This window comes from Homo sapiens, chromosome 9 (assembly GCF_000001405.40).
Source record: "Homo sapiens chromosome 9, GRCh38.p14 Primary Assembly".
Taxonomy (NCBI): Eukaryota; Metazoa; Chordata; class Mammalia; order Primates; family Hominidae; genus Homo; species Homo sapiens.
This window is the reverse complement of record NC_000009.12, coordinates 98,797,407-98,824,047: the sequence shown is the minus strand read 5'-3', so window position 1 is coordinate 98,824,047 and position 26,641 is coordinate 98,797,407. Positions and strand designations below refer to the sequence as shown.

Here is a 26,641-nt window from a genome sequence, read left to right as displayed (position 1 = left end):
ACTAAGCCCACAGCTCTACCTGCTGTTACAGACTTGACACTTGTCCTTGGTTAAGCTTAGCTGCTCTCACTTCAGCTAGGCCCCAAGGATTCACGGGCTGATGCTACTCCGTTGGCACTGCCAGTCCCAGCCAAGCCAAGGCTCTGCTGCATGTGGGCACCACAGAGGCCCCTCCACCCTCCTTGCCTCCATCCTCACCCAGCCCCTCCCCTGCCATTGGCCATTCCCCGCACAGCTGGCTCAGTGAGCTCCTCAGAGGGACCTGGACCTTGCTGTCTGCAAAGCTCCCCATCAAGCTTGCACTTAAGCCTCAACCCCTTATGGTGGCCTCCAAGGCCCTTCCAGATCTGGCCCTGCCCATCCTGCAACCTCACCTCCTACATCACCTCCACTGGCCAATGAAATGAACAGTCCCAGAAACTGCCAAGAGAATGCCCTGCTCCTTCCAGTTTCCCACGCCTACTGTTTCTGGGCTACTATCCCTGAGGTCTTCCTTGGGTACAGGAGGATACAGGAAGCCCATCCTTACTGGGCCTACTTTAGCCCTCCTGCATCCCACTCTCACCTCCCAGACACTGCTACAGAAGGACAGGCTCTTCCCAGAGCCCTGGCCGGGACTCACCTCTATCACTGTAGTCATCTACAAGGATCACTTCTTCTAGCAGGATATCCGGGGATGTCTCAAGGACACTGTAAACTGTCCGAAGGAGAGTTGACCAGGCTTCATTATAAAATGCTATGATAACAGATGTCCTGGGCAAATTATCATAATCATATTTCTTCTCTTTGCACCTGCAAATACAGCGGAACTTCAGGAACTCAGGATCTAGCCCAGGCTGGCACTGGGGATGGAGTGACAAAGGGGACATAGGTCATGGTCCCCTGCGGAAGGGGACATAATCCACTGAAGGATCTTCCAGAGCTCCCCTTGTGGCACTAGGAGCCCCAGCAGACTCCAAGAAAGGTCCTAACCATGGCACCCACCTAGCTTTTACTGTGGGATATTGTTTTAAGCTGTCAAGCAACTTTTTGATTTGAGCAACATACAAACGAGACAGAATCAGAAGGAAGGGAACTGGCACGTCTTCCTTCCCCATCGCCCTCCTTTCTGTCTACTCTGCCCCAGTCTCACTCCCAGGCCTTTGCTCAGACTGTTCCCTCTGCCTGGAATGCCCCTTCCTCCCTTCTGTACTTGGCAAGCTCCCAGCTCAGGCCTGTTCTCCTTTGTGAAACGCCTGGGACCACGTATCTTGGGCAGTTGCTGTCTCCTCAATGCTCCTCCAGCACCCGGCCCACCTCCATCTCAGCATGCACCACTGACAGTATTCTGAGTCCTCATGTACCACTGTACCACTCCCTACCCTCTCCCAGCATCCAATACTGTCTAGGCTTAGCAAAGGTGGTGTCCCAAATGCATAAACTAGAATTGTGGCTAGGACCTACAGACACTCCAGGAAGGACTCTACAGAGGACATTGGTTACCTCCCCCAAATCCCCGCTGCCACCTGCCCCCCAAGATGTGGTAGTCATGTGGTGGGGTGGGGCTGAGCCCACCCAACTCCAGCAGTGGGCCTGACTGGCAGTGATTAGAACCAATAAGCTCCCTCTTTGTTTAGCAATTTGCCGTCACTTTGAACTGAAGGTTCCCTGGTTGACACAGAATTCTATCCTGAGTGACATGACAAATTCCCAGTGTCACGGGACTGACTAAGGGGCAGTGCCTGGAGACTATCAGTGGGAAGTAGCTGATGGGAAGGTGGGAGAGTGAAACCACAGGGATACCAGAAGGGACAAAGTTTGAATGCTGGGGGCTGGCCAAGGCTAGGCCAAGAGATCAGCTAGATACTCAAGAAGGGGGTGAAATGCTGGAGACCAGCTAGGCTCCCTGGGTTGCTAAGGCAAGGCCTTCCCAGATTAGTTAAGTGACAGATCAAAGAGGACAGGAGAAAAGATGCCAAACTAGGCAGGAGGAGGAGGGAAACTGACATCTGCTGTCTACCATATGTCAGCATGTGCTACTGGGCCCTTTATCAGTCAGTCACCAAAAACTTCCCGAGCACCTACCGCATGTCAGATAGGCCAGGCCCCTGCTCCCATGCAGCTCATATTCAGGGGGACAGTAATCAACTAAACAAACAAATCAGGAATTACAGAAAGTGATTGTGCTATGGAAAATGGAAAGGAGAGTGATGAAAGAGAACAACTTTGAAACTATGAAAATGAAAAGCAGAGGAGTGGGGAGGGGGAAGGAGAGCAACTATAGGACAGGTAATCTGGGAGGGGCACTTAGAGGAAGTGACATTTAGGATGAGACCTGAATGATGAACCCCATGAAAAGTCAGGGAAGAGCCCTTAGCATACAAAAGTATTTGTTTTTTCCTCTTTTATTTTACTATTAGAAATTTCTTTCTTTTTTTTTTTTTGAGATGGAGTCTCGCTCTGTTGCCCAGGCTGGAGTGCGGTGGCACGATCTCGGCTCACTGCAAGCTCTGCCTCCCGGGTTCATGCCATTCTCCCACCTCAGCCTCCTGAGTAGCTGGGACTACAAGTGCCTGCCACCACACCCGGCTAATTTTGTTTTTGTATTTTTAGTAGAGACGGTGTTTCACCATGTTAGCCAGGATGGTCTCAATCTCCTGACCTTGTGATCCGCCCACCTCGGCCTCCCAAAGTGCTGGGATTACAGGTGTGAGCCACCGCGCCTGGCCAGAAATTTCAACATTAAAAAAGCAGAACAGGGCCGGGCATGATGGCTCATGCCTGTAATCCCAGCACTTTCAGAGGCTGAGGCCGGCAGATCACTTGAGGCCAGGAGTTCGAGACCAGCCTGACCAACATGGTGAAACTCCATCTCTACTAAAAATACAAAAATTAGCCGGGCATGATGGCACACGCCTATAACCTCAGCTACTCAGGGAGCTGAGGCATGAGCATCACTTGAACCCCAGGAGATGGAGGTTGTAGTGAGCCTAGATCGTGCCACTGTACTCTTGATTCATCTGTGTCAACACCACTCCCTCTGCCCCAGATTATTTCTAAAGAAAATCCAGCATACTGTAGCATCCAAAAATAGTTCGATATGTGTCTCTAACAGGTAAGGACTCTTTTTTAATAAGCATAGTATTTTTGTCATACCTTAGAAAATTACCTTTGTGCTCCAGTCTACAGTATTTCAACAAAGTTAAGCAGCCCTGGGTTGGAAGACACGACATTCTTTAATGAACCAATAAGAAGAGATACAATCCCACACCCGTCAAAATGGCTATTATTAAAAAGTCAAGAAACAACAGATGCTGGCAAGGTTGTGGAGAAAGAGGAAAGCTTTTACACTGTTGTTGGGAGTGTAAATTAGTTCAATCATTGTGGAAAAGAGTGTGGCGATTCCTCAAAGACCTAGAGGCAGAAATGCCATTTGACCCAGCAATCCCATTACTGGGTACACACCCAATGGAATAAAAATCATTCTATTATAAAGATACATGCACGCGCATGTTCATTGCTGTACTATTCACAATAGCAAAGACATGGACTCAACCTAAATGCCCATCAATGATAGACTGGATAAAGAAAATGTGGTATATATGTAGACCACGGAATGCTATGCAGCTATAAAAAGGAATGAGATTATGTCCTTTGCAAGGACATGGATGGAGCTAGAAGCCATCATCCTCAGCAAACTAATGCAGGAACAGAAAACCAAATACCACATGTTCTCACTTTTAAGTGAGAACTGAATTATGAGAACACATGGACACATGGAGTGGAACAACACACACTGGGGCCTGTCGTCGGGGGTGGGAGGAGGGAGAGTATCAGGAAGAATAGCTAATGCATGCTGGGCTTAATACCTAGGTGATGAGATGATCTGTACAACAAACAACCATGGCACACGTTTACCTATGTAACAAACCTGTATATCCTGCACATGTACCTATAAACTTAAAACCTGGGGGGAAAAAAAGACAAGTGCTACCTGGCATAATGGTAAGATGCATTGATTTTTAAGACACATGCTAATTTTAGAAATGTTGAAATGTGGGAAAAAAATGTGCCTCTGAATTGATGACATGTAGTACTTCATTTTACCTTCAAAACCACTTCCTATGTTAGCATTTATTGCTCCCACGTTAAAGGCTAAGAAAGGTAGAGTGACTTGGTCAGTTCACAGAGCACCTGCTAGTATGTACTGGGCTGAGATCTTTGTGTCCAGGGATCTTGTTGCAAGGTTCTGGCTTGTTCCTTCTACCCAACAGGAGGCTCAGGTGGGCCATCTGAATCTAAAGATCCCTGTATCACATCTCCCCACCTGGCCTTCCCTCCTACCAAGACAAGGACAATTACTCTTCTCCTTCTCGGGGTCCAGGGTCCTCTTCCCTGGAATGAGTTCTAGGTCCCTCTTCCTAATGCCAGGACAGCCTCTACAGCAAGTTCCAAGGCTCCCTGGCAGTGGCCTTGCTCTGCTGTCACTGGGATGATTTCCCTTCAGCTGTGAACAGGCTTATCTGAGAATCTCTGATAGGGGCTGGCTGTTCTCAGTCAGCTTTATATACTCATCCTGGCTGCATCAGGAGGCCCTGCTCTGGGCACTTGAGAAAAGGTCAGCCCAGGCTGGAAGCATGAAAGCTCTGGTGTTGTGAAGCCACTGGGCATCCCCACCAGCACCTAGCCAGCCAGGAGCCGAATCCCCAGACACCATAGGCTTTCAACTCATGCAAGTAGTTAACTTAGCACTGACCCCGTGGAAGGCTTTGTGCTCCAGAGAAGGGAGCCTGGTCCACATTCAAGGGGAGGAGAATGCGGCTCCATCTCTTAGACAGAGGCTATCAAAGAATTTGTGGATATATTTTAAAACCACCACACATGAAATGCAGGAGAAACAGTATGTGACTTCCAAGACTACATCATAAAACATTGAGGATTCCTCTTGTTTCCTCAATGGAAGGTATCATCCATTCTGGAGAAAGCCGGCTGCCATGTTGTGAGGATACTCAAGCAGCCCTATGGAGGAGTCTATGTGGCAAGCAACTGACACTTCCTGCCAACAGCCAGTACAATCTTTCCAGCCACGTGAATGAGCCATTTTGGAATCAGAACCTCCAGCCCCACCCAATTATGCCTTCAGGGGATCAAAGTCCCAAGTGACATCTTGGCTATAATCTCAAGAGAGATTCCAAGTCAGAACCACCCAGTTAAGCTACTCCTAAATTCCTAGTCCATAGAAACTATGTGAAATAACAAGTGTTTATTGCTATTTTAAGCCACTAAATTTTGCAGTAATACATACCATAAAATAAATCACAAAGAAAGTGTCTGACAGACCCAAACTGAGACATTTTATAAACCAACGGGTCTTTACTCTTCAAAAATGTCAACGTCATAACAGACCATGAGAGACTGAGGAACTGTTCCCGACTGAGTGAGGCTAAAGAGGCACAGCAATGGCCTGATTAAAGTGTCACACCTGATTCTTGCTTAGATACTAGATTAGGAAGGAAAAATCTTGCTATAAAAGTTGGGACAGCTGGCCAGGTGTGGTGGCTCACACCTGTAATCCCAGCACTTTGGAAGGCCGAGGCCGGCAGATGACCTGAGGTCAGGAGTTCGAGACAAGCCTGACCAACGTGGCGAAACCCCATCTCTACTAAAAATACAAAAAAATTAGCCGGGCATGGCGGCGCCTGCCTGTAATCCCAGCTACTCAGGAGGCTGAGGCAGGAGAATGGCTTGAACCCGGGGGGCGGAGGTTGCAGTCAGCCAAGATAGCACCATTGCACTCCAGACTGGGCAACAGAGCGAGACTTCGTCTAAAAAAAAAAAAATAATAAGTTGGGACAGCTATAGACATCCGATATTGGATAAATATTCTGGACTTGATATTATATCATGGTATCATGAGAGAATGTCTTTGTTCTTTGAAAATACATGCTGAAGTAGAGACAGGTAAAGAACTGTTATTTCTATAACTTACTCTCAAATGTATATAATATTATAGTAGACATACAGAAAGAGAAAAAGTGATTAAATGGGCCAAAACAATAATGGGTGGATCTAGGTGGAGGATTTATAGAAGTTTGTTATGCTGGTGTGTCATAAATTTTCTCCAGGTTTAAATTTTTCCAAATTAAAACTTTAATATAAAAAGAGGAAAAAAAGGTCCAATGTTGTGGACACATCCAAACACCAAGTCTATTCTGATCTATAGCTATGTAGCTCAATTTTAGTGGCCCTTACAAATGCCCTCCTCAATCTCATTATTTCTCATATCTACCAAAACATCCTCACTCTGGGCCGGGTGCAGTGGCTCATGCCTGTAATCTCAGCACTTTGGGAGGCTGAGGCGGGTGGATCACAAGGTCAGGAGTTCTAGACCAGCCTGACCAACATAGTGAAACCCCGTCTCTACTAAAAATACAAAAATTAGCAGAACGTGGTGGTGGGCACCTGTAGTCCCAGCTACTCCGGAGGCTGAGGCAGGAGAATCACTTGAACCTGGGAGGCGGAGGTTGCAGTGAGCCAAGATCGCGCCATTGCACTCCAGCCTGGGCAACAAGAGCAAAACTCCATCTCAAAAACAAACAAAACAAAACAAAAAAACAAAAAGAAACATCCCCCCTCCAACAAATACATGTTATAGCAAATGGAAAACATATGTGTGTGTATTATAAAAATATTAATAACTGCGTCTTCATTATTAAGCCCCTGAATACTAGACAAGATGCATAGAAAAGCTAGATTGTGTTGAGTTGTAGCTCACCAGGAGCCTCAGAAAGAATTAACCGCGAGGCTAGGCGCGGTAGCTCACACCTGTAATCCCAGCATTTTGAGAGGCCAAGGTGGGAGGATCGCTTGAGCCCAGGAGTTGGAGATCAGCCTGGGCAACATGGCAAAAACCTGTCTCTACCAAAAATACAAAAATTAGCTGGGCTGGGCACAGTGGCCCACGCCTGTAATCCCAGCACTTCGGGAGGCCGAGGCGGGTGAATCACGAGGTCAGGAGATCAAGACCATCCTGGCTAACAAGGTGAAACCCCGTCTCTACTAAAAAAATACAAAAAATTAGCCAGGCGTGGTGGCTGGTGCCTGTAGTCCCAGCTACTTGGGAGGCTGAGGCAGGAGAATGGCATGAACCCGGAAGGCAGAGCTTGCAGTGAGCCGAGATCAGGGGCCACTGCACTCCAGCCTGGGCAACAGAGCAAGACTGTGTCTCAAAAAAAAAAAAAAAAAAAAAAATTAGCTGGACATGGTGGCACACACCTGTAGTCCCAGCTACTCAGGAGGCTGAGGTGGAAGGATGGTTTGAGTCAGGGAGGCGGGGGTGGCAGTGAGCTGAGATGGCGCCATTGCACTCCAGCCTGGGTGACAGAGCCAGATCCTGACTCAAAAAAAAAAAAAAAAAGTTAATTGCTTACACTACATGAAAAACAAAAGTGTTTCTGTGAAACCTAAAATAAATATTTTTTCTTAAGATGCTGCTAAAACTTTGTTTCAAACATGCACAAGTTCAAGAGAAATAATTGACAATAAGGACGGTGAAGTGAGGTTTTCAAAGTGAGGTGCATTCAATGTAGAGAACAATCCTTTAGTCTGAAATCACATCCTTAGTATTTTGGATGAAAATTTATTTCTTCTCTTGTCAGCCCTGCTTTTTTTTTTTTTTTCTTTTTTTAATGTGTTTCCACTAAAACCAATAGCCTAGGGCCACCATTCTAGAATGTCTAGGTGGGCTCTTCATTTGTGCCATCTAAATCACAAGAAGGCTGGGTGCCAATTTTTCAATTAATATTCAGAGCTTTAAAATGTTCCTCTTTTCTTTGATCTCATATCAACATACATAAACATTTCTTGCCTAAGTAAATAGTCAGAATACCCTGAAGGAGGCTTGTTGTAAAAATTTTTCTTTGTAACATTATTTATAATAGCAAAAAGCTGCAAACAATTTCAATGTCGAACAAGAAGAAAATATAGTATAGTATGGCTGCATGAGGAAATCATGGCCATGTATTTTCAGCACGCCTTGTACTTTACCTGGTAATAACAGTACCCTTTGTTGAGTGTTTACTACATGAGAGGCACCACGTAAAACAACAAAATAACATTTTTTAGAGAATATTTAATGATAAAGGAGAATGGTCACACTATAATGTTAAATCAAAAAGGCAGGATAGAAATCTACAGATAGCCAATTCTAGAAACAACAACGTGTATGTGAGCGCGTTCACGCATAAACAATAAACAATAGAAAGAAATATGCCAAAATGTTATCAATGGTGATCTCTAAGAAGTGAGATTATTGCTGATTCTTACTTTTTATATTTTTGTGCATTCTAAAATTGTCCTAAAATGAACATCTATAATTTTTATAATCACAAAGAAATATTATTTTTAAAAGATTAGATCATATTTCTTTAGTTCCTCACAGCAAATGCCTTCATTGAGCAATAATTTAATACTCTGCCCTTTCTCTTTTTCTTGTCCTGGTATAGTTTCTGTTTCTTTTTTGAAAACATCTCCTAAAGGCATTCTGTTTTATGAGGTTCAATACCAATGCCCCTTGACTTACGGTGGGGTTACATCCCAATAAACTCATCGTAAGTTGAAAACATTCTAAGTAGAAAATGCATTTAATACACCTAACCTACTGAACACCACAGCCTAGCCTAGTCTATCTTAAATGTGCTCAGAACACTTCCATTAGTCTATAGTTGGGCAAAATCATCTAACACAAATCTACTGTATAATAAAGTATTGGATACCTCATATAATTTACCAAATATGTACCAAAAGTGAAAACCAGGTTGGTTGCAATGGGTACTATGATAGAGTTGAAAAATCTTAAGTCAAACGATCTTAAATCGGAGATCGTCTGTATATCTTTTTGAAATGTCTTTAAGTTTGCTTCCAGAAAAAAACACTTTCTCCTTTTCCTGACTAATAAAAAGCTGTGCATCTTTTGATCATACAAAGACAGCTATGGATCACTTTAAGGTTCCACTTTTGCCTTGAGGACAAAAGGAAGCTCAGAACTGGATTTAATGCTACATCACAGCACACAATCATTTCCCTAAGTTTCTGGTATATTGCATGTGCTTTGTAAGGGCAGAGACTGAGCTGTGTTTGTCTCTGTATTTTCAGCACGCCTTGTACTTTACCTGGTAGTAACAGTACCATTTGTTGAGTGCTTAATACAGGAGAGGCACCATATAAGCATTTTATACACATTACTTCATGTAGCCTTCCTAACAACCCTACTGGGTAGGGACTACAATAATCTCTGCTGGTAGAATATTTACTTATTATATGGATATGAATGAATTAATGGATACAGTAAATGCCTCTTGATCTTCCTTTTTTTTTTTTTCACCCAGGCTGGAGTGCAGTGGTGGGATCTTGGCTCACTGCCACCTCTGCCTCCCAGGTTCAGGCAATTCTCCTGCCTCAGCCTCCCAAGTAGCTGGGATTACAGGTGTCCGCCACCATGCCTGGCTAATTTTTGTATTTTTAGTAAAGACGTGGTTTCGCCATTTTGGACAGGGCTGGTCTCGAACTCCTGACCTCAAGTGATCCGCCCTCCTTGGCCTCCTAAAGTTCTGGGATTACAGGCATGACCCACTGCACCCAGCCCCTCCTGATCTTCTTTTATCTTTATATTAAGGTTATCACATAAATGTCTTTTAAAAAAAATCAAATCATATCCTCTGTAGAAAAGGCCAAGGAGATCGTGATGTACATTTTTGTGTCTTACCTGCCTAGAATCCTTTCTCCTTTCTTCACTGTACACTGCATCTTGATTTCCCTTTCAAGAGCCAACCTTTTCCAATTCTCAGTCTATGTGGTTTGTGGAGGGCTGAACATACACAAGCACATGCATATACACACAGAGACACACAGACACACACCCCTACCCCTGGGAAGGTTACATGCCTCAGGCCTGACCAATCAATAATTTCGTGATGACATCAATTGAGTCCCTGAATCCAGGGCCCAGAATAACCTGAACTCAGTTCTCATCCCAGACTTTTCTATAATAGAACCCAATATATTTTCTTTTATATTTAAGGCAGTTTGCATTGGGCTTTCAGTTACTTTTAACCAAAAGAATCCTGTCTAGTGTAGAAAATAATTATTTTTAAAAAGTGAATATAGGACTTCTACTTCTGGCAACATGGAAGACTAAGATGTCTAGGGAAACACTCCTGGTATATACACCCAAAAAATCTTGATAAAAAGTTTTTTTTTTTTAAATCTCTTGGCTGGGCGCTGTGGCTCACACCCGTAATCCCAGCACTTTGAGAGGCCAAGGTAGGTGGATCACCTAAGGTCAGGAGTTCAAGACCAGCCTGACCAACATGGTGAAACCCCGTTTCTACTAAAAATACAAAAATTAGCAGGGCATGGTGGCAGGCGCCTATAATCCCAGCTACTAGGGAGAAGCTGAGGCAGAAGAATCACTTGAACCCAGGAGGTGGAGGTTGCAGTGAGCTGAGATCGCACCATTGCACTCCAGCCTGGGCAACAAGAGCAAAACTCCATCTCAAAAAAAAAAAAATTTTTTAAATGGATGGCTTAGCCGACAGGAAAGTAAAAGAAGTCTTCTTCATGAAGGAACAACAAGAAAACACTAATCTAGATAACATAATTACCAGACATAGAGTATAAAATAAGTATGCTTAATATGCTTAAATAAAAGAAGACCTCAAATGAATGACAAAGAAACAAGAATGACAGAGAGATCTGGGTCACTGTAGGCATCTCATAGCAATGGTGCAAACCAGATGACAAGGGAATAATACCTTCAAATGTCAAACTACCAATGTAGAATTATATACCCAGCAAAACTTTCATGAACAAGAGCAAAATAAAAACATTTTCAGATAAAGAAAACTGAGGACTAACAATAGACCTCTCTACAGCAATTAATACATGATGTATTTCAGGAAGAAGGAGAAGAATCCCAGAAAGGTCTCTGACTCAGGAAAGAATAGTGAGCAGAGAAAATGGTAAACTTGTGGATAAATCTGAACAAATAAATACTGCATTTTTAGCTATTCTAATTTGTTGGTTTAAAAGCAAGACAGAATTAAAATATTGGAGCAAAATGGCATACAAATTAGGAGAGAAGATGATCAATACTAAAGCATTCTATGGTCCATAGTTAATATTTAATTTTAGACTTTGTTGAGTTAAATATGTACTTTAAAATTTACCACTAAGGTTAGAAATAGATAATATAACTACTAAATTAGTAGAGAGGAAAAAAATGGAATGAGGGGAAAAGCCTCTATCGACTCAAAAAGCAGTAGGAAAAAAGAGGGGGAAAACACCAAAAAAGCATAACAAATGAAAACATAAAATAAGACAGCACTATCAAATCCAAAAGCATCAGTAAGCACAATAAATGTAAGTGGATATAACTATCTTGTTAAAAGTTAATGATTGTCAGTTTGGATTTTTCTTTTTAAATGGAGTCTTGTTCTGTCGCCCAGGCTGGAGTACAGTGGTGCAATCTTGGCTCACTGCAACCTCCAGCCTCCTGGGTTCAAGTAATTCTCCTGCCTCAGCCTCCCAAGTAGCTGGGACTACAGACACCCACCACCACGCCCAGCTAATTTTTCTATTTTTAGTACAGACAGGTTTTCACCATGTTGGCCAGGCTAATCTCGAACTCCTGACCTCAAGTGATCCACCCACCTCGGCCTTCCAAAGTGTTGAGATTATAGGCGTGAGCCACCACTCCTGGCCTGGATTTTTTTTTAATGACAACACAAAATCGAGCAACATACTATTCAAAGACACACCAAAAACATATGGACACAGAATGAGTGAAAGAAAAAGGTATCAGGAAAATACTAACCGAAATTGAACATGTTCTGTGGATTTGAAGTACTGGAGTACTGACTCAAGAAAGAATGCCACTCTGATGTTCTCAAGATGGATCTAATAAGAATTCATAAAATATCCACAACTTTGTTGGGGAAACAAAATAAACATCAGTCTAATGTCCTACTCCCTTCTGCAACCCTAGCAAGACATACTTTTGCTTAATTACCTGTTTAGAACCACTTTGAGGCTGGGCATGGTGGCTCACGCCTATAATCCCAGCACTTTGGGAGGCCAACACGGGCAGATCTCCTGAGGTCAGGAGTCTGAGACCAGCCTGGCCAACATAGTGAAACCCCGTGTCTACTAAAAATACAAAAATTAGCTGGGTGTGGTGGCGCTTGCCTATAATCCCAGCTACTCGGGAGGCTGAGGCAGGAGAATGGCTTGAACCCAGGAGGTGGAGGTTGCAGTGAGCCAAGATCGCACCATTGTACTCCAGCCTGGGCAACATAGCAAGACTCCATCTCAAAAAAAAAAAAAAAAAGAACGACTTCGAGACTCTTTGCCATCCCAGCACCCAAATCCTGACCCCTGAACTCAGACACACATCTGCAATTATAGTATTAACAAGCCTAAAACCAGAGCAAGTCAAGAAATAAAAACACCATGCTTTCCTTGACCAATGGTTCACAGTTCTTCTGCCCTGGTAGAGAATGGCTGGTGTTCACACATATGGGATTCCTGTCATAGATAGACCTGAAGAAATGTCCAGCCCTGAGGGCACTGTCTGTTACTCCACTCTCTCTTCTACTAAATATCAGAATGCAAATGAGAATGATGTTACAGTGATCATCTCAAGTTCCCCGTATTCTATGGAAACTAAAACTTTTTGCAAATTTTGGTACAACATTACTAATAACCATTTCCTTGTGACACACCACTCAGTTGACTATGATGTCATCACTGGCTTGAACTACATTTGACCTGTTATTAATCCTTACTTTCTCTAGTTCTGGTATTCTCCACACCCTCCAAAACACTCACCCTAAATCTTCTGACTCAGAAATCCACAGGCTCTAGGCCAGTAGCTTTCACCCGTGGTTGCATATCAGATTCAGCCTAGGTCCTAGCCACAGATATTCTGATTTCATTGTTTTGGGGAAGATTCCTGGCATCAATATATTTTTTAAAGTTCCCCAGGGCCACACACCCAACTATCTGTCTCCCCACTTTGACCCGCTATCATCTCAGAGTAAAAATTCACCTTCTTTGCTGAGATGCTAGTCATACTATACTACTATGCTTACTGACTTACTTACTATACTTATTTATATTAATATATATTAATACTTACTATGTTACCATGCAAGGAAGGATTCCTAGTCATCATTAGCCTCCTCTTCAATTCAGTGCTGTAACTAACAAAACTATACTCGAATCCACTGGCATGTAAATTATTAGATTCATAGAGGGGCCCAGGTCTATACTGGCTCTCACAGAATTAGGACCAGTACTCTAAAATGTCTTTTTAGTGGTCTGGCCTTCTTCAAGAAGGCAGACACAGTGCCACACCCTGCTGACACCAGGAAGAGTCAAACCAAGTGGTCCCTTAGTCATTCCCAACTCCTTTCCTCTGATAAAAGGCACTGCAGAGTAAAGACTTTCATTAAAAGTCTAGGAGGCACAGCAAAATGTTAACAATGGTTCTCCCTGAGTGGTAGGTTTATTGGGGATTTTCATTTTTTTCCTTTTCTGTTTCTCTGTGCATGCCAACATTTCTAGAGTGAATATGCATTGCTTTCATAATTAAAATAAACATAGAAATAATCATCCCCACCCAAAAAGGGAGGAACGAGTAACAGATATGGACTGTGGCTCTGCCTGAGATGTGCTATGTGACCTGGGGGTGTGGCTTTTCCTCTCTGGTTAGACTAGATGCTCCTCCCTCAGGGCCCTCCCTCCTGCAACATTCAAGGACCCTCATTATCCCTCTGTTTATTAGACTCGCAGAGAACCCCATACCCACACTGTGAACTTATGATCTGCCATTCAGGTTTCTCAGGCAAAATCTCAAGACCCTGATTAGCTCCTGGATGAACTGTAATAAAAGTGAGATGCCACAAAATACCCTGACCCTACTGACCACTCTGAAGTTACATCTCAAAGCCTGGCCCAACAGAGACCCACACAGCTCAGGCTCACCTTTCTCTCTGGCTGGGTAAGAATAACCCAACAGGCCTTGCTGCAGGAATTAGAAGCAGGAGGCATTCACACTCCTTATCATGCTGGGTTTGGCTTAACTTCCAGGGTCAATGCAACAGCAGGATCTACAAGCAAATCCTGAGAGGACACAGGGCAGCTGCGTCACCATGGAGACAGGTTACCATAAGCCCCACAGATTGTCCACAGTGTTTCAAAGAGATATTCACAACCTGCGACAATAAAGGAAGTTGGATCCAGGAAAGAAAAACTACAACCAATCCCTGGATGACTCTCAAAAGCAACCTCTTGAGTACATTCTTGGCAACAGGGAAAGGTGAAAAAACTAAGATTTAAGCACACAGTGTGCTCCCAGGTATTGATGCTTTATTAATTCCTAAGTTGTGTTCTTTCCACTCACTTTTATGTAGAATGCATGGAGACTCACTTTTATGAGTTTCCTATTTCGCAAACGAAGGGAAACCAAGGCTCTGAGAGGCTAAGCAGCTTGCCAGAGATCACAGAAGTGACGAGCAAAAGAACCAGGATTTTATCTCCCCTGGGCTGGATTTAATCTGAAGCTGGGTATAACCTGAAAGCTTCCCCTCCACCTTGCCTCAGCGGGCACCCTCGGGGTTTCGAGGAGCTAAACATGCGTTAGGCTGGTGAGTGGAGGAACTACTATCAATCCCAACAAAGTTTTATTCAAAAAGACTAACAGTGAAAAATGCCTCAGGCAGAAGCATGAGGCTAGGCATGAGGAGATCCCCAAAACAGGGAAGACAGTGGAAACAGTGGGGCAGAGGTGGGGCATCCTCATTCCATCATTCATGGTCTCTCTGGCCAAGGTACCATGGAGCAGGCCCCTAAAATCCTGAGATCAGCATGGTGCCAAGTGGGCCAGAAGGGCCATAGTCCCTCCAGACCAGTCCTACCACATTCCAGCTGAGGGGCCTTGGGTGGGTCACCTATCCTTTCCGAACCTATTTCCACACCTGTAAAGCAGGAATGGCTTGAAGGGGAGAGGAGTGGCAGGTGCCTGGTGCACACGGCAGGCTGCCACCACCAGCTCCAATGGGAACCCCCTCTCTGAGTCCTCTTTTCCTCAAAGTCTGTAAGGAAGGGGCTCAAAAAAGGACTTGGAAGATCCCTGACACTTCGAAGAAAAAGTGAGAGCCCGGGAGGCCCAGCGGCAAAGGTGGCAGCAGCCACCTGTCCTTCCTCCTGCTGCCAGCGTGTGCCCTGGATCCCCACCTAGGCAGGGGCGCAACCTGCCCAGCCAGTAGCTCCAACAGGAACTAGGCCTCTGACCACGCTGGCTCCAGTCCAGCACCACCCACAGGAGTGAGCTGGGGTGGATCACGGCCAGAAGGAGCCCTTCCCACCCCGTGCCCCTTCCCGCCTTCCTCCACCCAAAGCTCAGAAATCCAATGCCCAGGGAGAGCACAAGGAGGCTTTCTAGCGCTGAGGGGGCCTTACAGCCATCTTTCGCTTCACCTGTGGGGCGCTCCCTCGCATCTTGTTTGTCCCTTAGGCCCTGGCACACACAGAGAATGAATGGAGCCGGTCACCGCCCGGAGGAGTTGTCAGTTTCGCGGAGGCACTGCGAGGCGGGCAGAGCGGGGTTGTCCTTTGGGTGCTGGGGGGTCCTCGCCTTAAACCCTTCTGCTTAGCCCTGACCCTCACCTTTTCAGGGAGATGATAACTTCTCAAGGAGAAGGGAGCTAAGAGATCACTAACAGACTTGCCAATTTCTGGTAATTTTTTTTCTACTTTCGTCTTTTTTACTTTCTTGCCTCCCCGCCCCCATGTGAGCTCTTACACTATCGTCTTCGGAGAAAGACTCAATAAGACGCGCCATCCTGGAGACCCCAGCTCCCCGCCCTGCCACTGCTCTGATGGAGAAACTGAGGCCCGGGGCTCTGAGGGCGGGCTTCCTCCCCAGAGCTGTGCACTCACAGCGGGTTCCAGCGCTCGGGCAGGCGGCGGTGCAGTGAGATGCGGTCGCTGAGGTAGATGTTAATCTGGTGCAGCCGCACGCTCTCCTCCTGCAGCCGCAGCTCCTCGCCCTGCAGCTGCAGCCGCACCGCCTCGCCCCGCGCGCCCAGCGCGTTCGCCGGCACCGGCGGCCGCGGCATGACCGGCTCGCGCCGCCCGGGGCGCGGGGTGCGCGGGGGTCCCGGCTCGGCAGCCCCGGCCCCGGCCCCACGCTGCGCCCGCAGCACCGAGCCCAGCCCGGCCAACGCCAGTAGCGCCAGGAGCACCAACAGCGCCTCCCGGCCGCGCCGCAGTTCCCGCGGGCAGCGCCGCCGCGCCGTGCGCCCCCACATGCGCCCGCCAACTGCAGCCAGCGATCTGCGCGCCCCAAGGCGGCGGTGGAGGCCAGGACCCGGATCCCGGAACCGCCGTGCCGCCCCGCCCCCGGCCCGCCCCACCTGCGCGCCGCCCCCTTTCCGTCCAGCCCCGCGCCAGCCCAAGCGCAGCCCCCGGGGTGGCTCATTTCGGCAGGGTCTTCAAGTGGGCTGGCTGAGACTTGCATCTTCCTTCTTGGGCTATGGTGCATTATTAAAGAGATAGTGGTGGTAAAACCCTTAGCGCCTGGCATATTGTAGGCGCTAAGTGTTGGCTGAATACACCCTGCAGGGTGTTATGAATTCTACTGCCATTATCTCATCTGATCTTTACACAGTCCAATAAAACAACCATCAACTAGGATTACGAGCTCCCTTTTACAGATGAGGAGATGGAGGTGCGATGAGATCAACAGACACCACGCTGCCCCACTGACTTCTGCAGGCCCAGCCTCTGCCATACTCTTTGGAGTCCTTGAATAGCAAACCCTCGCCTGGCTCGCCTCGTGATAGCTCTGTGACCTCTGAGGCTAGGAGCAAAAGGCCATGAAGGCTGTACATGATAGTTCACACCTGTAATCCCAGGCCGAGATAGGAGGATCACTTGAAGCCAGGAGCTTAAAACGAGACTGGTCAACATAGCAAGACTCCCATCTCTACAGAAAAATTTCAGAATTAGCCATGCATGGTGGCACGTGCCTATAGTGCCAGCTACTCAGGATGCTGAAGCAGGAGGATTGTGTGAGCCCAGGAATTGGAGGTTACCGTGAACTATGCGCCACTGCGCTGCAGCCTGGATGACAAAGCGAGATCCTGTTTCTATTAAACAACAACCAAAAAAGGCCATGAAGCTGCCGCCCTGTTCATGAGATCACTGCTGTGGGAGCCTTGAGCTGCCAGGGACGAAGTAAGTCTAATGGAGTAGACAAATATTAAAAAGATAATTAGAATTGTGTTAAGTATTTTGAAGAAGAATTACAGGGCGCTAAAAGGGCTTAGAATAGTAGAACTTGATCTAGTTTGGGGGTTTTGGAAAGCTTCTCTGATGAAGTAATGTCTACACAGATATCTGAATGTAAAAGTGATAGCAGAGATTTCAAATCATATCTTAAATTAATCTGGAACTCCCTCTGCTGGTGTCTAGCTCAGGGAAAAGAATCATTCTGTATCCCCTGTAGAAGGATAGAGTGTAAGCTCTATTTGTTGTTGTTTGTTTTACCATGGGAAGTTGGTCCAAAGCTTTTTATCAAATATTCTCAAGGAGACCAGAAGCCCAGAAAGTTTAAAAAGCACAAATCTGGTCCAATTATCTCATTGATAAATGCGGGGTCTGAGACACAGGGTGGGGAGAGGACCTTGAACTTGGCGGCTCAGGTAGAGGTAGAATCTGACTTGCTGTTGTCTTCATACAGCCTTTGGCTACTGGTATCCCCAGAGGAAATCTCCCTCAGGTTGCAGGAGGGGGGTGGGTTTTGGGATGAACCATGCAAAGCAGCTCCCACTCAGGACAACCTGCTGCTAATATTAGACTAGAGGGAAGTGGCTCTTCCCACAGTGCTCAGGGCCCCGCCTGCTTCCCACGCAGAATGGAGGCTGCTGGTTAATGCCAGAAGGCGGTTGTGTTAGGTAGGTCTGGACCTGAGCCCTTTGGCCTCTGTTCAGACACCCAACACATTTAAGATCTGCGGTCAGATTAGAAAACAGACAAGGATTACAATTCATAATGTCTTGGATCCGCTTGCCAAATTGGAATGCTTCTCAATAGAGGTTCAGATACAGAGAAAAGAGAAATGCAATTAGGCCTTACAAGACATGGACTTAAGCCCCAGGTAACAGATAAAAGCTATTGTTTACTGAGCACACACTGTGTGCTGTAAACTGCTGGACTTTCTTTTTCATGTACTTTCTCATTTCACCCTATGACAACCTTGCAAGGTTGACAGATGAGAATATGTAGGCTCAAGAAGTGAAGCAACTTGCCCAAGGTTACACAACATGCAAGCGGTAGAGGGAGGATTTGTATCTGGGTCTCCTGACTCACAGTCCAGGATTTCCCACCACACCACTCACTGTTGGGCAGGCTGCAATGAGATGCAAAGGCAGCTTAGCTTAGGAGGTCGGAACACAACCTTGGAGCCCACTTGCCTGAGCTCAACCCAGCCCCATCACGAATTGCAGTGTGACCTCAGGCAAGTTGCTTTACTTATCTCGGCTCAATTTGCTCATCTATTAAATGGTGATCTAATGATAGCACCACCTGAACAGGGTTGTTGAGAAGATTGAGTGATACAGTCTGCACAGTCAGCCTCCCGGGGCACAAAACAGAGTGGAGAGAGTGTCAGTAAGGCAAAGGGAAGATGTCCAGCACCTTGCTGAGTGAAGTATGATATTTAGACCAGAAGCATTGGTACCACCTGGGAGCTTGTTGGAAATCTAGCATCTTTTCAACAGAGGTAAAGCCCTTGGGTTTATTGCTATTTTTAGGGGGCTTATCTGTTCACTAACAGTACCATGTTATGTCATCGGCTGCTCACCAACAAGTAGATATCTCTAGAAGATGCTTTTAATTTGTCATATTAGCTCTCTTCATAGGAGTTATTACATTCCTTTTAGAGTTTAATATGATCTATGGTAGATGTGGTATTTCAAATATTAGTGGGGAACATGTGCCTAATTCAAGTAATAATTGGGACAACTTGATAACCATTTGGAAAAAATTCAAATCAAGTCCCAACATCACACTTTACATCAAAATAAATTCCAAATGATCTGAAGATGCCACAGTAAATAAGCAAAAAAAGGAAGGAAGGAAGGAAGGGAAGGGAAGGAATTTAATTATAAAAGTATTGAATGAGAAAAACCAGAGACCATATGGAAAATATTTCTAAATGTGACTATATAAAAATTTTGAATTCTGTAAGGCTTCCAGTATAATACAAAGTCCAGAAACAAAAGGCAAGTCAGAAAGAGATATTTGCAGATGACATTTACCCAGTATGTGAATCAATAGGGAAATAAAGAGAACAAACAGAAATAAAAATGGTCAAAGGATTTAAATAGACAGTTCCCACCCAAAAGGATATAAATAGTTTATAAAAGTATGAAAATATGCTCGATCTCTCTAAAATACATACAAAATAAACCTACCCTGAAATATTTTTTCACCTATCAGACTGGCAAAAATGAAAATGGCTATTAATTCCAGTGTTGGCAAGGATGTGAAAAAACACTCTCATCCACTGTTGGTAGGAATGCAAACTAGTATAACCTTTTGGAAAGCAATTAGGCAACATTTATTAGAAATGTTAATATTAACATCTTTTTGATTTTGCAATTCCACATCTAGGAATCTATCCAACAAACATAGACTCGTAAGTGCTCAAAAGATATGCATACAAGGAAGCTTATGGCAGTATTGTATATAAAAGCAAAAAGTTGGAAACAATCCAAATTTCCATCAAGAGATTATAAAATAAAATATTGCACATCCGTACAATACCATAATATACCACAGTGCTATTTGCAAGCATGAGTTAGTTGTAGGCATTTAACATACACATGTGTTCAAGATGCATTGTAAAGAAAAGAGAAGCAAGTCGTGGAGCTATATGAATAGTATGATCCTATTTTTGTAAAATAATATATATTAACATATGAAAGGGGAAAAAATCTAAAGGAATATTTACCAAACCATTAACTATATTATATTTACTTCTGATGGGTGAGATTCTGTGGTCCTTTCACTTTTGTTCCATTTATTTGTTTTTTTTTCAACAAATATTTATTGATCACCTACCATCTGGGAGTCAGTGTGCTAGATTCTGGGGATTTGAGGTAAACAATATCCAAAGCCATTGATCTCAAGGAGTTTACATTCTATATTTCTACAACATCAGAATTCTTTAAAACAATCGTTACCTTATTAGGAAAAAAAAGACATTTAAAGTAAATATTGTACTCTTTCGAGATTATTTTACTTCTAAGCCTTCCTTATCTCCTGCCTAATCCACTCTGTCAGTCTGTGGTCCTCCTGTCCCCCTGCTCTCTCCTTCCAATATGTTTCCTCCTTTTTCCTACAACGACCTAGACCCCACCCATCATTTCTGCCCAACTTGTAGCCAAGCTCTGCCATGAAGCTGTCAGTGGCATCCTCCAAACTGTGACATCTTCCTTTGAATTGACGATGAAAACTCATAGACCCCACTGTTCTGCAGTCATGTGGGATTTCCTGGGAGCCATGAGGCCATGTTTCTATCATTCAACACACATAATGCCTAGCACACAGAAGGTATTTAGTAAATGCTGGCTGAGCCTGGTACCGTGGCACACACCTATAGTCCCAGCTACTCAGGAGGCTGAGGCAGAAAGATCACTGGAGCCCAGGAATTTGAAGCTGCAGTGCACCACGATGGTGTCTGTGAATAGCCTCTACACTCCAGCCTGGGCAATAAAGCAAGATACCATGCCTAAAAAATTCAAAATTAAGAAAAAATTTTAATTTAAAAAAGTTGGTTGAAAGGAATTGTGTTGGAAATGAGGTGCATTGCTCAGATTACCCTTTGGGAGAAACTTTTAGGGGAAACACGGTTGACTGCCAGCTCCCAGTGGCTATGCCTTTGGATCCTTTGTGGTATCCTCTGGCTACTCCCAGTCAGTGACCGAGCATGGTGTGGTACCAGAACCTGGCCACATCTGCATGATATAGGACACAACCCGTGCTTGGGAATCCCCCATCTGCCTGGCTGAGACTTTCCCTCGTCACTTCCCATTCTCCTTTCTCAAGTATCAGACCTGCATCATGGTCTGAGGGCTCCCCATCCCTTTTCCCCGACTTTCCCCTTTCCCTCTTTTTTTTTTTTTTTTTTTTGAGACGGAGTCTCACTCTGTCGCCCAGGCTGGAGTGCAGAGGTGTGATCTCTGCTCACTGCAACCTCCGCCTCCCAGGTTCCAGCGATTCTCATGCCTCAGCCTACCAAGTAGCTGGGATTAAAGGCACGCACCACCACACCTGGCTAATTTTTTTGGTATTGTAGTATAGATGGGGTTTCACCATGTTGGCCAGGCTGGTCTCAAACTCCTGACCTCAAGTGGTCCACCCATCTCGGCCTCCCAAAATGCTGGGATTACACACTTTCCCTCTTTGTCCTTTGTAGGTATTTTTCCCAGAAAACAAACAAACAAACAAACATCTAGGCATCTGATTCTTAGAGGATCCAAACCAACACAGGGACCAATGGAAAAAAAAAAAGGCTGGAAGAGAATTCATAAACAATAAGGCTATAGCTATACTTGCATAGAAAGATGTGCTGGATCTGTGCTTCACAAACTTTAATGTATGGTATGGTGAGTCACCTGGGGATCCTGTTGAAATGCTAGATCTGGTTAAGCAGGTCTGGTGTGGGCCCAAGATGCCACATTTCTAACAAGCTCCCTGGTGATACCAGTGCTGCTGGTCCAAGAACCCCAGATTGAGCAGCAAGGTGCTAGACATCGTCCATTTGTCCCTGCTGTTTCTCTTCACCCTGTTCTGTGCCCTGGAAGGCTGACTGCATGAACTATATCAGCAGGCTCCAAGACTCTAGCTTCCAGTAGGGTTTACTAATGAGGAGCACTGGCAGGAGATCAGAGGGCAGGAGGAGAGTGAGGTCAGAGGTTTTTATTCCTCTGAGGATAGCTCCCTACTGAGTTGCTGTGGGTTGGCTCTGTCCCTCTACCAAAGGCTGTAGCTCCTATCAGGTAGGTCTCTGCAATTTTTCTCTCTTGCAGAATTCCAGTACCTGCTCTCCCCTTTTCCCCTTCAGGCCTGGGATGGTAACAGCTCTGTACTATTACCAGCCCTGGAGTACTGCACCATCCCTTGTGGCTCTTAGTAAATCCTGCCTATACTTCTGTAAATGGTCCTTTAGTAAGCATTCCCCAGCTCCTCAGCCAAGTGTGCCATCTGTTTCCTGGTGGGACCCTGGCTGCTACAAGCGCTGTCCAATGCAGTATTTTTTATAAGAGCAGAAAACTGGAAACAAGCTAACTGTGCTTGTTTCTGTTTGTTTGTTTGTTTGTTTGTTTGAGAGTCTTGCTCTGTCACCCAGGCTGGAGTACAGTGGTGCAGTCTCAGCTCACTGTAACCTCTGCCTCTCAGGTTCAAGCGATTCTCGTGCCTCGGCCACCTAGGTAGCTGGGATTACAGGCATGTGCCACCACACCTGGCTATTTTTTTTTGTATTAGAGATGGGATTTCACCATGTTGGCCAGGCTGGTCTTGAACTCCTGGTCTCAAGCAATCCACCCCCCTTAACCTCCCAAAGTGCTGGGATTACAGGCATGAACCGCCATACTCGGCCTCAACTGTGCCTTATTCTAAAATGATTAAATGGGCTGGGAACAGTGGTTCATGCCTGTAATCCCAGCACTTTGGGAGGCCGAGGCGGGTGGATCACTTGAGGTCAGGAGTTCAAGACCAGCCTGGCCAACATGGCAAAACCCCGTCTCTACTAAAAATACAAAAATTAGCTTGGTGTGGTGGCGGGCATCTGTGATCCCAGCTACTCCATAGACTAAGGCAGGAGAATCGCTTGAACTCAGGAGGCAGAGGTTTCAGTGAGCCAAGATTGCACCACTGCACTCTAGCCTGGATGACAGAGTGAGACTCCATTTCAAAAAATATAAAATAGAAATAAAAATTAAATGATTAAATAAATTATGGTACGTCTGCTGAATGGTGTTTCATGCTATCATTTATTTATTTATTAAAATTTTTTTGGAGATGGAGTCTCGCTCTGTCGCTCAGGCTGGAGTGCAGTGGTGTGATCTCGGCTCACTGCAACCTCCACCTCCCAGGTTCAAGCAATTCTTCTGCCTCAGCCTCCCAAGTAGCTGGGACTACAGGCACATGCCACCATGCCTGGCTAATTTTTTTGTATTTTTAGTAGAGACAGGGTTTCACCGTGTTGCCCAGGCTGGTTTCAAACTCCTGAGCTCAGGCAATCCGACTGCCTCAGCCTCCCAAAGTGCTAGGATTGATTACAGGTATGAGCCACATCGCCGGGCCGCAATCATTTTTTTAAAATGCAGCAGTCTGTATTTACCTACATGGAAAGGTGCCCAAGACATTTGTTAATGGAAAAAGAAAAAAAAAAGCAAGATTCAAGAATAGCATGCGTAGTATGAACCCATTCATTTACAAAAAAAGTAAATTATCCATTTGTTAAGGCTTGGAATGCAAGTGACAACAATGCTGCTCAAAATAAACCTCACCAAAAAGAATGTGGGGAGGGATTTTCTAACTTAGTCTCTTTCTATCACTTGGTTTTGCTTTCTTTTGTGGTGACTTCACTCTTAGGCAGGCTGTCTTCAAGTGGTGGCAAAGTGAGCACCAGTTTGGCTGACATCCTGATAGCTGGCAACCTCAGCAGAGAGGGCCTCATTCTCAATTGCTTTAGCAAAAATCCTGGGCTGGGCTGGGCACAGTGGCTCATGCCTGTAATCCCAGCACTTTGGGAGGCTGAGGGAGGAAGATCACTTGAGGTCAGGAGTTTGAGGCCAGCCTGGACAACGTGGTGAAACCCCGTACCTACTAAAAATACAAAAATTAGCCGGGCATGGTGGTGGGTGCCTGTAATCCCAGCTACTCGGGAGGCTAACGCAGAGAATCACTTGAACCCAGGAGACAGAGGTTGCAGTTTGTGGGGTGCAATTGTGCCGCTGAACCTCAGCCTGGGAGAGAGAGTGGGACTCCGTCTCAAAAAAAAAAAAGTCCTGGGCTGAAGCCAATCAGGATATGTGCTAACCACTGAAGCACACAGACTGTGAGTAGGGAAGAAAGGCTTCCCAAAAGAAAAAGGGTGTCCAGAGGGAATATTTCATAGCAAACACTTGTTATCGTTTTTGACTGCCCAGCATCTGAACCCCCTTCCTACATTTGGGAGTGCCCTACCTTCTGAAGCAGAAACTACCTCCCGCTATTATATGAGCACATGACCCAAGTTGGGCCAGTCAGGCACTGTCACCTCAGCCTCTGAATCTGAAGCCAGGAACACCAAAAAGGGCCTGAACCAACCCCATCTTCCTACAGGGTGCAGCTGCGGCATGAGATTTGGGTCATTGTTCCTGGCTTTGGGGCCTCCAGAACTGGTTCTCAGGCTCTCATGGATCTGTGAGCTACAGAAGAACCTTGTACTAAATCCTGCAGCTTTTCCAGCACCTAAAACAGTGTCTGGAAATGGCAGGCACTCAATACATATTTGTTGAAAATGGAAAGAGAGTTGGACTCGATGTCAGAAGACCTGAGTCCTACTCACAGCTCTCCTGCAGAATAGTTGTGGAGTCTTTGGCAAGACACAACCTCTTTGTGCCTCGGTTGCCTCCTCTGCAACCTAGGGATGATCATCTGGGCCCTCCCCGGTGGATGGCAGGCGTGCAATGAAGATCAAACGTGGGTCTCCAACTTTAGCATGCATCAGAATCACCCAGAGGGCTTGTTAAAATATAGGTTGCTGAACCCACACCCAGAATTTCTGATTCAGTAGATCTTGGGTAGGGCCAGAAAAATCTGCGTTTGTAACAGTGTTGCAGCTGGTGATGGTGCTACTGCTGTGTGGGACACACTTCAAGGACCGCTGATAAAGAGAGAGAAGGTATTTCATTTTCTTTGTGACCATTGTAAATGAGGTTGTGTTCTTAATTTTGTTCTCAGCTAGAATGTTATTGGCATATCAAACTGCTATTGCTTTTTATACATTGATTTTCTGTCCTGAAACTTTACTGAATTTGTTTATCATTTCCAGGAGCCTTTTGGCAAACTCTGTAGGGTTTTCTATGTATAGATTCATACTCTCCGCAAAGACAGAGTGTTCGACTTTTTCTTTTCCTATTTGAATGCCTTTTATTTCTTTCTCTTACCTGGTTGTCTGGCTAGGACTTCCAGTACTATGTTGAATAGGAGTGGTGAGAGTCTTCTTCCAGCTTTTGCCTGTTTAATATGATGTTGGCTATGGGTTTGTCATAGATGGCTGTTATTATTTTGAGGTATGTTCCTTCAATGCCTAATCTGTTTTGAAGATTTTTATTATAAAGGGATGTTGGATTTTATTGAAGGCCTTTTCTGCATCTATTGAGATGATTATATGGTTTTTGTTTTTGATTCTGTTTATATGGTGAATCACATGTATTGATTTGCGCATGTTGAGCCAACCTTGCATTCCAGAAATAAAGCCTACTTGATCATGGTGAATTGACTTTTTGATGTGCTGCTGGATTCTGTTTGTAGTATGTCATTGAGGATTTTTGCAGCTATGTTTTTCAGGAATATTGGCCTGAAGTTTTCTTTTTTTCGTTGTGTCTCTGCAAAGGGCATGAACAGACACTTCTCAAAAGAAGACATACAGGCAGCCAACAAACATATGAAACAAATGCGCAACATCATTAATCATCAGAGAAATGCAAATCAAAACCACAATGAGATATCATCTACACCAGTCAGAATGTCAATTATTAAAAAGTCAAAAAACAATAGGTGCTGCTAAGGCTGTGGAGAAAATACACTGTTGGTGGGAATGCAAACTAGTTCAGCCACCGTGGAAAGCAGTTTGGAGATTTCTCAAAGAACTTAAAATAGAACTATTTGACCCAGCAAACCTACTACCAGGTATATACCCAAAGGAAAATAATTCATTCTATCAAAAAGACACCTGTATATTCATTGCAGTGCCATTTACAATAGCAAGGGTATGGAATCAACCTAAGTGCCCATCAACAGTAGATTGGATAAAGAACATGTGGTACAGAGCCAGATGTGATGGCTCACACCTGTAATCCTGGCACTTTGGGAGGCCACAGCAGGTGAATCACTTGAGCTCAGGACTTTGAGACCAGCCGGACAACATGGTAAAACCCTTTCTCAACCAAAAATACAAAAAATTAGCCGGGTGTGGTGGCACTTGCCTGCAGTCCTAGCTACTCGGTAGGCTGAGGTGGGAGGATTGCTTGAGCCTGGGAGGCAGAGGTTGTGGTGAGTAGAGATTGCACCATTGCACTCCAGCCTGGATGACAGAGCAAGACCCTGTCAAAAGAGAGAGAGAGAGAGAGAGAGAGAGGGAGAAAGGGAGGGAGGGAGGGAGGAAGGAAGGGGGATAGGGAGGGAGGGAGGGAAGAGAGGGAAGGAATGAAAGAAATGTGGTGCATATACACGATAGAATATGATGGAATACTACGGAATACTATGCAGCCATAAGAATGAACGAAATCATGCCCTTTGCAGCAACATGGATAAAGCTGGA

At 45.1% G+C, this 26,641-nt stretch overlaps 1 protein-coding gene and 1 long non-coding RNA gene across 6 annotated transcripts in view, besides 2 other annotated features; one reads left to right on the top strand and one right to left on the bottom strand.

The window, feature by feature from the left end:
• GALNT12 (polypeptide N-acetylgalactosaminyltransferase 12) overlaps positions 1–16,378 on the bottom strand; it is a 42,412-nt gene extending 26,034 nt beyond the window's left edge. The window contains exons 1-3 of one of the 5 annotated variants that reach the window (XM_011519018.3): positions 14,023–14,983; positions 11,852–11,934; positions 623–792 (exon numbers count right to left, since the gene is read on the bottom strand). In XM_011519018.3, coding sequence (XP_011517320.1) covers positions 623–792; positions 11,852–11,934; positions 14,023–14,088 — 319 coding nt within the window. In that variant the 5' untranslated portion in view covers positions 14,089–14,983. Of the gene's footprint in view, positions 1–622; positions 793–11,851; positions 11,935–13,174; positions 13,223–14,022; positions 14,984–15,841 lie in introns of those variants that run through there. The other 4 variants (XM_017015133.1, NM_024642.5, XM_006717287.1 and 1 more) reach the window with 4 other exon arrangements.
• Positions 16,237–16,306: a silencer, noted in NCBI's record as "silent region_20123". NCBI's record gives its function as "represses an Ori minimal core promoter by ATAC-STARR-seq in GM12878 lymphoblastoid cells {active_cell/tissue: GM12878}" and the evidence as "EXISTENCE:reporter gene assay evidence [ECO:0000049][PMID:35858748]".
• Positions 16,407–16,496: a silencer, noted in NCBI's record as "silent region_20122". NCBI's record gives its function as "represses an Ori minimal core promoter by ATAC-STARR-seq in GM12878 lymphoblastoid cells {active_cell/tissue: GM12878}" and the evidence as "EXISTENCE:reporter gene assay evidence [ECO:0000049][PMID:35858748]".
• LOC124902229 (uncharacterized) lies at positions 16,468–25,600 on the top strand. The gene is made up of 2 exons (XR_007061689.1): positions 16,468–17,277; positions 24,439–25,600. It is a non-coding gene; the product is annotated as an uncharacterized LOC124902229 (long non-coding RNA).